Below are 12,173 nucleotides of genomic sequence, written 5' to 3' on the forward strand. Positions count from 1 at the left end.
CTTTTAAAGATCTGAATAGGAAAATTTATCATCTATTGTCTCTAAGGGCAGCCACTATAAGACTTCAAAAGAACCTTGGTCTCCACAATCTTTTATCTTAACCTGAACATTTCCTTTCTATCATTGCAGGTCTTAGACAAATTCAACCAATTTTCAACCAGAAAATGTTTCAATTTACCTATAGCCTGAAAGCCCCTGCTTTGAGTTGTCTTGTCTTTCTGGACCAAACCAATGTATTTCTCAAATGTATTTGATTGATGATGAATACATTTGACATCAATCAAATGTTTGATTGGATCATCAATCAAAGAGTCTGACTCTTCATCGATACTCTAAAGTTAATATCAAGTCAAGCAGCTTCAGCTTTTGCAGCTTCATGAAAAGAGCAGTTTGTTCTTAGTGATTCCAAGTCAGAAGGGTTGGAAAAAAATTGGAATGTTAGTTTGGAGAGTCATAACCAGATATTGGAGGAAACTAGAATTGGGGATCCAGTCCAGTTTGCAGGTAAATAACAAAACTTCAAAGACAATGAACAGAACTAGAATCTAGTCACAGGTGTGTTTGAAATGCTTGTTCCCTGGTGCTGTAAAGAAATAGCACTTGAACATAAATTTAATTTACTCAGCAAGGCCATTTGTATACTTTCTGCAGAAAGGGTACACTCGCCAGCAGTTTTGCCATGAGAGTACACCGAACAAAGGAGTCAGGGTCATTTATAACCCGACGCATCCACCCTACTGCTGTGCCCAGTTTCCATTGGCTGCAACAGGACCTCACATTCTGTATTCTAGCAACTCAGAACTTTTTAAAAGAGGCAAAGGCAGAGGAGAACAAAGGAAGGAGGAGGTAACGTGGAATGCTGAGAAAGGTAAAAACACCTTCAAATAAGGAAGAAGAACAGGCTGTGACCTAATGCTTTCTTGGACCAGTATAAGCATGCCAGGGCAAATATTTAGGCTAAATTGTGGGAGCTAACATAAAGTACATTGATTTCTTTATTACGGCTAGCAGATATTTAAGAATGTTAGCACAGGTCTTTGAATAAATTTTGCTTCTAAGAGAAGTTACTATTTGTTCCTAATCAGACGGGGAGGAAAGTCTTTGAAGAGGAACCTCTACTTTACTTTTTACAGGTGCATAATAGTTTTTTTTACTAAAACATAATATTTCTCTCTGTCACCTCCATTTCTACCAAAGATAGTCACAGTAAAGACTAATTTGCAAAATAAGTCTAGTCTCTTTATACTTGCCCTGATTAAGTGCAACAAGAGTAGTGATTAATCATATAGGCTCTTGGCCACTGCCCCATCTGGGAAGTGAGGAGCGCCTCTGCCCAGCCACCGCCCCGTCTGGGAAGTGAGGATCACCTCTGCCCAGCTGCCCACCATCTGGGATGTGAGGAGTGCCTCTGCCCAGCTGCCAACCATCTGGGAAGTGAGGAGCCCCTCTGCCCGGCTGCCAACTGTCTGGGAAGTGAGGAGCGCCTCTGCCCGGCTGCCCACTGTCTGGGAAGTGAGAAGCACCTCTCCCCGGCTGCCCAACTGACTGGGAAGTGAGGAGCACCTCTGCCCGGCCAGCCTGTCTGGGAAGTGATGAGGGCCTCTGCCTGGCCTCCCCATCTGGGATGTCAGGAGCACCACTGCCCAGCTTCCCACCGTCTGGGAAGTGAGGAGCGCCTCTGCCCAGCCGCCCAACTGTCTGGGAAGTAAGGAGCGCCTCTGCCCGGCTACCCCATCTGGGAAGTGAGGTGCCCCTCTGCCCGGCCGCCCCACAGTCTGGGAAGTGAGGAGTGCCTCTGTCCGGCTGCCCACTGTCTGGGAAGTGAGGAGCGCCTCTCCCCAGCTTCTGCCCTGTCTGGGAAGTGAGGAGCATCTCTGCCCAGCTGCCCACTGTCTGGCAAATGAGGAGTGCCTCTGCCCGGCCACCACCCCATCTGGGATGTGAGGAGCGCGTCTGCCCAGCTGCCGCCCTGTCTGGCAAGTGAAGAGCGCCGCTGCCCAGCTGCCCCACTGTCTGGGAAGTGAGGAGCACCTCTGCCCGGCCACCCCATCTGGGAAGTGAGGAGTGCCACTGCCCAGCCGTCGCCCCATCTGGGAAGTGAGGAGTGCCTCTGCCTGGCCACTGTACAACCTTCCAAGTGTGACGTGACAGCCTTGTTTGTGATCTTTTCTGTCTTCCCCAAGTTCGCATTTTCGACATTAAAGTTTACTTTTTAATTAAAAAAAAATCATATAGGCTCTTTTTAAGTCTGTTTTGCTGGAACTTTTAATAAGGAATCTCAGGTTAGACTTTCCAAGTCTCTCAAGAATACAAAGAGAACTTGTCTGGCTTGTTTCAACTTTGCCTGCAATATCTGTAGACTTTGATGAATTATTCTTTTCTTGATGTCCCCAATATACCTGAGGTCTGCCAGGAAGTGACCTTTCTTACTCATCTGTAAGGCAACCACATAAAGAAACCACATAAGCAAAGTATGAGGTTGGCTTTTTGGCTCCATAAAGTCAACCTTAGTTCCTTAAAACTGTCTGATCATATCGGATTATATGTTCATTTTCATATTTGATATTCCAGTCAACGTCTTAGCAATATAATCAAGGTTTTCAATTGTGTCCCTGTTATAAGGAGACTAGATTCTTACTGAATTTATGAAAATAACTATATAGTGCCAAGCATGGTGGCTCACACCTGTAATCCCAGCACTTTGGGAGGCCGAGGCGGGTGGATCACGAGGTCAGGAGTTCAAGACCAGCCTGGCCAACAGAGTGAAACCCCGTCTCTACTAAAAATACAAAAAAATTAGTCAGGAGTGGTGGCGGGCACCTGTAATCCCAGGTATTTGGGAGGCTGAGGCAGGAGAATCGCTTGAACCCGGGAGGTGGAGGTTGCAGTGAGCCGAGATTGCACCATTGCACTCCAGCCTGGGCGACAAGAGTGAAACTCCATCTCAAAAAAAAAAAAGAAAAAGAAAAAGAAAATAACTATATAGTCATGAGTAGTCATGAAAATAAGAATAGCCAGTAAGAGTTTCTGAATTCTACAGGGATCAGGTAGAGAAAAAAGGATAAATGTTTCAATTCTGTTTACGAAGGTATAATTTACCTGATTGCTGTAAATTTTAGTTAGCTTAAGAAAAAAAGAGAAAAGCCATTAAAGACCCAGAAATGTCCTAAAACAAGAAGTCATAAGAATTATAATCATCAGTCGGGCGTGGTGGCTCATGCCTGTAATCCCAGCAGTTTGGGAGGCTGAGGCAGGTGGATAGCCTGAGGTGAGAAGTTTGAGACCAGCCTGGCCAACATAGTGAAACCCCGTTTCTACCAAAAATACAAAAAAAAAAAAAAAATAGCTGTGGGTGGTGGCATGCGCCTGTAATCCAAGCTACTCAAGTGGCTGAGGCAGGAGAATCACTTGAACCCGAGAGGCAGAGGTGGCAGTGAGCCAAGATTGTGCCATTGCACTCCAACCTGGGCAACAAGAGCAAAACTCCATCTCAAAAAAAATAATAATAATTAAAAATAATTTAAATCATCTTCATTGGGTCATCTAGTCTGATGTAATTAATTCTTGTTCTGCTTGATCTTTGGTTAGCAATTTCATGAATGAGTCAGTTTTTCCATTAGTGTTCTGGAAGTTGAACGGTATGATCTTAAAGTCATCAGGAACGTGTACTTGTCCGTTTTCTCCATGAATCTCCTTAAATACAAATGCACTTTCTTGAGGTTCCTGGGCCTACCAGGAAATGACTTTTCTTACTCATCAGCACAGCAGCCATGCAAAGAAACCACATAAGCATGGTGGTTCATATTATAGTTGTTTGCAAAAGCTTTTAGGAATGCATCAAAATAAAACAATTAACTGTCTGTGGATGACAAAAGACTTCAAATGGTCATGGTTAAAGGATGAGAATTAATTGTAATACAATTGAGAAAAAAATTCAGTTACTTCTGTCACATACATTTTAAGATAATAACTAGAATTATAACTGACAACATTATAACTTCATGCAATTTCTGGAACACATAAATACATACAAATATGACATAAAGAAGCTTTAGTATCACTTCTTTTTTAACAATGCTTCCCATGTAATTTAACGTACCAAATTAATTTAACAAGTTTGTTTTTATAAGAAGAAAGACAAGGCCGGGTGCAGTGGCTTATGCCTATAATCCCAGCACTTTGGGAGGCCGAGGCAGGCGGATCACGAGGTCAACCAATTGAGACCATCTTGGCCAACATGGTGAAACCCCATCTCTACTAAAAATACAAAAATTAGCTGGGTGTGGTGGCACGCGCCTGTAGTCCCAGCTACTTGGGAGGCTGAGGCAGGAGAATCTCTTGAACCCGGAGGTGGAGGTTACAGTGAGCCAAGATCGCGCCACTGCACTCCAGCCTGGCAACAGAGCGAGACTCCATCTCAAAAAAAAAAAATTAATAATAAATAAAAAAGAAGAAAGACAAGTCCTTTGTGACTTTTTAGGGGCCTTCAGGAAAATTCCAAAGTTAGCTCAAGGTCAAAAACACTTCATGTAGAGTTTGATTTTTCAAAGTTGTCAAAAATGCCAAAAGACGGCTGGGCTCAGTGGCTCATGCCTATAATCCCAGCACTTTGGGAGGCCAAGGCAGGAGGATCACTTGAGCCCACGAGTTCGACATCAGCCTGGGCAGCATAGGAGGAGACCTTATCTCTAAAAAAAAATTTTCAAAGGACAATTTTTTTTTTAAAAGTCAAAAGACTAAATTTTTTGATTAAACAGGATCACAGATCACTGTAAAACATTACTCAGTTATCCATTTAACCAAAGCGCTGGAAGATTTCAGAGGTAATTACAGAAAGGTATACAGTTTTCTTTTTTTTTTTTTTAGCTTAGCTCTTTTAACAGAGAAGACTGAGTCTTCTTAAGTAATCAAACACCTGAAAAAGACAACATGAAACACAGGAAATTATTCTGATAAGACGCAGATTTTTTTCCACCTCAGCAAATTCTAGATTTCCTACACAGATTACATAGACGGTAAAGAAAAACGTTCCACAGTATTTTATCAAGAGAAGTCCAATACTCCAATAAAACTTTGTAATTTTAAGAAAGAAGATGAAACTCTAGTTTTAGATTGTACTTTTGATATTAAGGCTCATTTTTGAGATCCTTATAATAAATTGATTCAATTTTAGCCAACTTAATCACACAAGATTCTCTCTCTCTAACTTTCTAAATCTATTCAGGGTTTTTTTTGTTTTATTTTTGTTTTGAGACAGTCTTGCTATGTTGCCCCAGCTGGTCTTGAACTCCTGGGCTCAAGCAATACTCTTGCCTTGGCCTCTTGAGTAGCTGGGACTACAGGCATGTGCCACCATGCCTAGCTCCATTCAGTTTTTGTCTTTCTTTCTTTTTTTTTTTTTTGAGACGGAGTCTCACTCTGTCGCCCAGGCTGGATGGAGTGCAGTGGCGCGATCTCTGCTCACTGCAACCTCCGCCTCCTGGATTCACGCCATTCTCCTGCCTCAGCCTCCCGAGTAGCTGGGACTACAGGCGCCCACCATCATGCCCGGCTAATTTTTTGTATTTTTAATAGAGACAGGGTTTCACCATGTTAGCCAGGATGGTCTAGATCTCCTGACCTGGTGATCCGCCCGCCTCGGCCTCCCAAAGTGCTGGAATTACAGACTTGAGCCACCGCGCCCAGCTGCTTCATACCTTGTCTTACAGAAATCCCGTATCCTATTTTCCTTGCATACAAGTTTTGTTCTTTACACTTTCTGGTTTTCACTAGAAACTAAGCAATCATTAAGAAATTAAGCAATCATTAAGAAATTTCTAGTTTTCACTAGAAATTAAGCAATCATGAACTGTCACACTAGCATTCTGTAGACAGGCAAGTCTATGAATATACCATTTTATAATTTTTCGAAACATATATTTTTTCATAGCAGTTTTTCTTTCTTTCTTTCTTTCTTTTTTCCGAGATGGAGTTTCACTCTCCTTGCCCAGGCTGGAATGCAATGGCGCTATCTCGGTTCACCGCAACCTCTGCCTCTCGGGTTCAAGCGATTCTCCTGCCTCAGCCTCCTGAGTAGCTGGGATTAAAGGCATGCACCACCATGTCTGACTAACTTTGTATTTTTAGTAGAGACAGGGTTTCTCCAGGTTGGTCAGGCTGGTCTCAAACTCCCGACCTCAGGTGATCTGCTCCCCTTGGCCTCCCAAAGTGCTGGGATTACAGGCATGAGCTACTGTGCCCAGCCTGTAGCACAGTTTTTCAATGTGGCATGGGATATGTTTACTAACACACTCAAACATCTGGAGTCTCTTGTACTATGAAGCCAAGAGTAGACAGACCTATATTCAGCAATTAATGCTTCCATGTTTTATTATATTTGGAAAATATCTAGGTATGCAGTAAATATTTATCATTTAATTTAACTTAACTTAGCAAAACCCTGACTATAGGTTACCAAAGAGATTTGGGGAACCATTTTTAGTAGACATGTGATAAACCATAATCATTGTTAAAAGCTCATTTATATACTTTTATCCTATTTTTATAACTGCCTGACAGGTTCTTCCCGCCTGCTGCACAAATGAAGAGCATGGCATTGCAATAAAGTACGAGTTTAATTGGCCAGGCTCAGTGGCTCACACCTGTAATCCTAGTGCTTTGGGAGGCCAAGGTGGGTGGATTGCCTGAGCTCAGGAGCTCAAGACCAGCCTGAACAACATGGCAAAACCCTGTCTCTTCGAAAATACAAAAAATTAGCCAGGCATAGTGGCAGGAGTCTGTAATTTCAGCTACTCGGGAGGCTGAGGCAGGAGAATTGCTTGAACCCCAGAGGCGGAGGTTGCAGTGAGCTGAGATTGTGCCACTGCACTCCAGCCTGGGCAACAGAGTAAGACTCCGTCTCAAAAAAAAAAAAACAAAAAAAAAAGAGAGAGAAAAGAGAGAGAGAGAGAGAAGTGGAGAGAAGATGAGAGAAGGAAGGAGAAACAGGAGCAACGGGAAGGAAGAGGTTGTAGGGGAGCCAGAGTCGGGAGATCTCAAGTTCCCCAAAGAAGCCAGTAAAGTCCCATATTATCCTCAGAAAAACTGTGCCAACCATAGGGAAGTGACAGAGTTGGTTGAGCACATAGACAGTGGGGCTTCAGGAAGGGAGTTTCAAGCGATGGAGACATTCCCATAGGAGCTGCAGGATCAGCTTGACAGAACAGAGAGGACTTAAAACAGTAACTCCTACTAGGGTCTGAATATTGGCTTCTAGTCAGGCCAACTTCTGACCATAGAGCTCCTTTAAAAAAAAGCCTTTCAAGGCCGGGCGCAGTGGCTCATGCCTATAATCCCAGCACTTTGGGAGGCTGAGGCGGGCAGATCAGGAGGTCAGGAGTTTGAGACCAGCCTGACCAACATGGTGAAACTCCGTTTTAAACCCTACTTAAAATACAAAAATTAGCCTAGCTTGGTGGCACGTGTCTGTAATCCCAGCTACTTGGGAGGCTGAGGCAGGGGAATCGCTTGACTCTGGGGCGCAGAGGTTGCAGTGAGCCGAGATGCACCACTGCACTCCAGCCTGGGTGACAGAGCAAGACTCTGTCTCAAAAAAAAAAAAAAAAAAAAAAAAATCCTTTCAAATATCCTATTATCAAATTCTCCTGGGACAAACACTAAGTATTCTTGGCAATATTGAACTCCTATTTGAATAGTTTTTTTCCTTTTTCTTTTACAGAAAATGTATACTTAGCAAATGACTGAAGACCAAAGCCATAAACCTCTTAGGACTTAAAACCAATGAGCCTTTTATGGCTTTGCCACAGAAATGAGATGCCTCTCCAAACAGGGTGCAAAGATACAGCCCTTTCCATAGACTATGGGAGCCACTCCCATAGACAGCCAAGGGAAGAAAGTCTTAGAAAACACCCCAAGAGCTGGCAGTGGTTGGTAGGATATGAGAAAAAGAAAAATCATTTCATCTGGCTAGCTGTTATGGCCTACATCTGTAATCCCAGCACTTTGGGAGGCTGGGGCAGGTAGATCATTTGAGCTCAGGGGTTTGAGACCAGCCTGGGCAACATGGTGAGACCCCACCTCTACAAAAAAATACAAATATTAGCTGGATGTGCTGGTGTACACCTGTAGTCCCAGTTACTCAGGAGGCTGAGATGGGAGGATTGCTTAAGCCTGAGGAGGTCGAGGCTGCAGTGAGCCATGATCACGCAACTGCACTCCAGCCTGGGTGACAGTGAGACCCTATTCACCTCCCCTTCCAAGAAATATATTTCTTTTGAGGAATGCAAGCCCCTTTAAATTATGAGACCCAGAAAGGCATTTAAAATGTAACACCAGTCATGTCCCTCTCCCCCTTGAGTGAAATAATTACCTCTAGCAGCCACTCACTATGGGGGCTCTAGATTAACTGTCACCAAGTAGCCATAAAATGCCATACACCCTGTAGTTCAAGAATGCACAGCCAATCACCAATGTTATTCATAAAAATAACCGAGGTTATTTCTGTAAACCAATGTGAATTCCTGACAAACAACTTTTGTAATTCTCCTTCTCCTGATTTTTTATTTTTTCCTTTCAAAACTTGAGCCTCTCTTTTGTTGTCTGGAGCAGTCCCCAAGGCAACTTGGAAGTGTGTCCCGGGCTGCAGTCCTCAACTTTGTGCTGATGACCTCTCTTTGAACTAGATTCTGACCGTTTTGATGATTGTAGGTTGACAGACACTGGTCACAGATGGGATGCAGCCCACACTTCTCTTTCTGTCTGGTTATATTCCTGGGTGTCCCTGACCTGGTGGTTGGCTGGCCGTATTCTGGGGTGTCCCCGACCTGGCAGTTGGTTGCCTGCACAGGCAGCCTGGATAATCTGGGCGCCTCAGCAGGCGGATAGTCATGCTACATTTTTAGGACACAAAAGGAGACAAACAGGAAAGCAATAGCTGTCCCTGGGAGTGAAAGGATCAATAACCAATGGTTACCCCAAACCACATTTCACCAGAGTCACTGTCCAAAAAAATTAATTCTTACAAATGATTTCTCCTGCTAATGTGAATTTGAAATAGAAGGTGGGAGGGGGGAGGGATAGCATTGGGAGATATATCTAATGCTAGATGACAAGTTAGTGGGTGCAGCGCACCAGCATGGCACATGTATACGTATGTAACTAACCTGCACAATGTGCACATGTACCCTAAAACTTAAAGTATAATAATAAAAAAAAAATAAATAAAAGATGACCACTTTATTTAAAAAAAAAAAGAAAAGAAAAGAAATAGAAGGCACAAAAGAGAAACTTGTACCTTCCTCCCCTGACTGACATCACACAGATCCAGGAGAGCTAACTACCACATTCTTTTATTTATTTATTTATTTATTTATTTATTTAAGACAGAGTCTCACTCTGTGGCCCAGGCTGGAGTACAACGGCGCAATCTTGGCTCACTGCAAGCTCCGCCTCCTGGGTTCACGCCATTCTCCTGCCTCAGCCTCCTGAGTAGCTGGGACTACAGGCACCCGCCACCACACCAGGCTAATTTTTTTTATTTTTAGTAGGGATGGGGTTTCACCGTGTTAGCCAGGATGGTCTCGATCTCCTGACCTCGTGATCCGCCCGCCTCGGCCTCCCAAAGTGCTGGGATTACAGGCATGAGCCACCATGCCTGGCCTATTTTTTTATTTTTTTGAGACAGGGTCTCATGCTCATTGCCCAGGCTGGAGTGCAGTGGCGTAATCACGGCTCACTGCATCCTCAATTTTCTGGGCTCTAGTGATCCTCCTGCCTCAGCCTCCTGAGTAGCTGGGACTACAGGCGAACACCACCATGCCTGGCTAAATTTTTTGTATTTTTAGTAGAGACAGGGTCTTGCTGTGTTGGCCAGGCTGATCTCAAACTCCTGGGCTCAAGTGATCCACCAGCCTTGGCCTCCCAAAGTGCTGAGATTACAGGCATGAGCCACTACGCCCTGCTAATTTTTTGTATTTTTAGTAGAGACAGGGTCTTGTCATCTTGCCCAGGGTGGTCTCAAACTCCTGGGCTCAAGTGATGCACCTACCTTGTCCTCCCAAAGTGCTGGGATTACAGGTGTGAGTCACTATGCCTGGCTAATTTTTTGTATTTTTAGTAGAGACAGGGTCTTGCCATCTTGCCCAGGCTGGTCCCAAACTCCTGGGCTAAAGTGATCCACCTGCCTTGGCCTCCCAAAGTGCTGGGATTACAGGTGTGAGCCACCACACCCGGCCGACACCACATTCTTACCTGTTGCCAGATTCTGTCACTTTTCCAGGGATCCCAATTGTAGAGCAGGCAGGGTGTCCCAGAGATCCCATCTGGGTCACCGAAACTGTAGGGGCAGAATAATAATTTTCTCCATATCCTTTCTGTGTTTCCGGCTGGGACTTCCTATAACAAAATGGCAGATTAAGAAGAGAAAGACAAAAGGAAGTTTAACAACATGTATATTTCAGGTATACATAGGAGATACCCAGAGAAATGAGTAAAATCTAGAGGGGTGGCTTAGAATTCGGGCTTAAATACCATCTCCAGTTGAAACAAAACAAGAACGGTGTTGGGGTGGACAGTTATGGGGTGGTGTCCAGAAAAAGCTTGGTAAGTAAAGCTAAGGTTTGTAGTGCAGATTTATGTTGGTGTCTTCTCTAATGATTAGAGTTTCTGGTGCATTAGAGCCACACTTCTTTTCCTGGTATAGGGACAAAGAAACCCTTACAAATGGAGACGCGTTTTTTTGTTTGTTTTTTGAGATGGAGTTTCATTCCTGTTGCCCAGGCCGGAGTGCAATGGCACGATTTTGGCTCACTGCAACCTCTGCCTCCTGGGTTCAAGCAATTCTCCTGCCTCAGCCTCCTGAGGAGCTTGGATTACAGGCGCCCACCACTATGCCTGGATAATTTTTGTATTTTTAGTAGAGATGGGGTTTCACCATGTTGGCCAGGCTGGTTTCGAACTCCTGACCTCAGGTGATCCACCTGCCTTGGTCTCCCAAAGCGCTGGGATTACAGGTGTGAGCCACTACGCCCAGCTGGGCTTTTTTTTTTGGTATTTAAGTATACATAGATAATTATATTTTATTTTAAAATTAATTTTATTTTTTATAATTAATTATAAAATTATATTTTTAAAAATTAATTAGAGACAAGGTCTTGCTGGTCTCGAACTCCTGATTTCAAGTGACCCTCCTACCTCAGCCTCCCCAGTAGCTGGGACTACAGGCACGACACCACACCCAGCTAATATTTTGATTTTTTTGTAGAGATGGGGTCTCCCTATATTGCCCAGGCTGGTCTCAAACTCCTGGGCTCAAGCAATCCTCCTGCCTGGGCTTCCCAATGTCCTGGGATTATAGGCATGACCCACTACGCCTGGCAAGAGATGTTTTTTGTTGTTGCTGAGGCTAACAGAAAACAGCAGAGAGATGGTTTTTATAGATGTAAATTTCCCTTACAAAAGGGTAGCTTTTAAAATATTATTTAATTTAACTTAATTTAACTTTTTGAGTTTCACTCTGTCTCCCAGGCTGGAGTGCAGTAGCACGATCTCAGCTCATTGCAGCCTCCGCCTCCCTAGTTCAAGCAACTCTCCTGTCTCAGCCTCCCAAGTAGCTGGGATTACAGGTGCCCACCATCATGCCCAGCTAATTTTTGTATTTTTAGTAGAGACAGGGCTTCACCATGTTGGTCAGGCTGGTCTTGAACTCCTGGCCTCAGGTGATCCACCTGTCTCAGCCTCCCAAAGTGCTGGGATTACAGGTGTGAGCCACCATGCCGGGCCTTAAACATTTTTTTTTTTTTTGAGATGGAGTTTTACTCTTGTCACCCAGGCTGGAGTGCAATGGCGCCATCTCTGTTTACTGCAACCTCTGCCTCCTGGGTTAAAGTGATTCTCCCGCCTCAGTCTCCCGAGTAACTGGGATTACAGGTGCTTGCCACCACGCCCAGCTAATTTTTGTACTTTTAGTAGAGATGGGGTTTCACCATGTTGGTCAGGCTGGTCTCAAACCCCTGACCTCAGGTGATCCACCCCACTCGGCCTCCCAAAGTGTTGGGATTACAGGCGTGAGCCATCGTGCCCAGCCCATTTTATTTTCTAAGTAAAGATAGGTTCTTGTTATGTTTCCCACGCTGATTGTGAACTCCTAGACTCAAGTGATCCTCTTGCTTCAGCCT

General features: G+C 44.1%; 1 long non-coding RNA gene across 4 annotated transcripts in view; it reads right to left on the reverse strand.

Annotated features, from left to right (window-relative positions):
* The window catches only part of IKBKB-DT (IKBKB divergent transcript), a 37,577-nt gene that overhangs the window by 19,407 nt on the left and 5,997 nt on the right, over nt 1–12,173 (reverse strand). For 3 of the 4 annotated variants that reach the window (NR_125823.3, NR_185844.2, NR_185843.2), the window contains 2 exons: nt 10,249–10,392; nt 2,240–2,434 (listed from right to left, as the gene is read on the reverse strand). This is a non-coding gene — a long non-coding RNA (IKBKB divergent transcript). Of the gene's footprint in view, nt 1–2,239; nt 2,435–10,248; nt 10,393–12,173 lie in introns of those variants that run through there. The other variant, NR_185845.2, reaches the window with a different exon arrangement.

The sequence above is a fragment of the Homo sapiens genome, chromosome 8 (assembly GCF_000001405.40).
Source record: "Homo sapiens chromosome 8, GRCh38.p14 Primary Assembly".
NCBI classification, from domain to species: domain Eukaryota; kingdom Metazoa; phylum Chordata; class Mammalia; order Primates; family Hominidae; genus Homo; species Homo sapiens.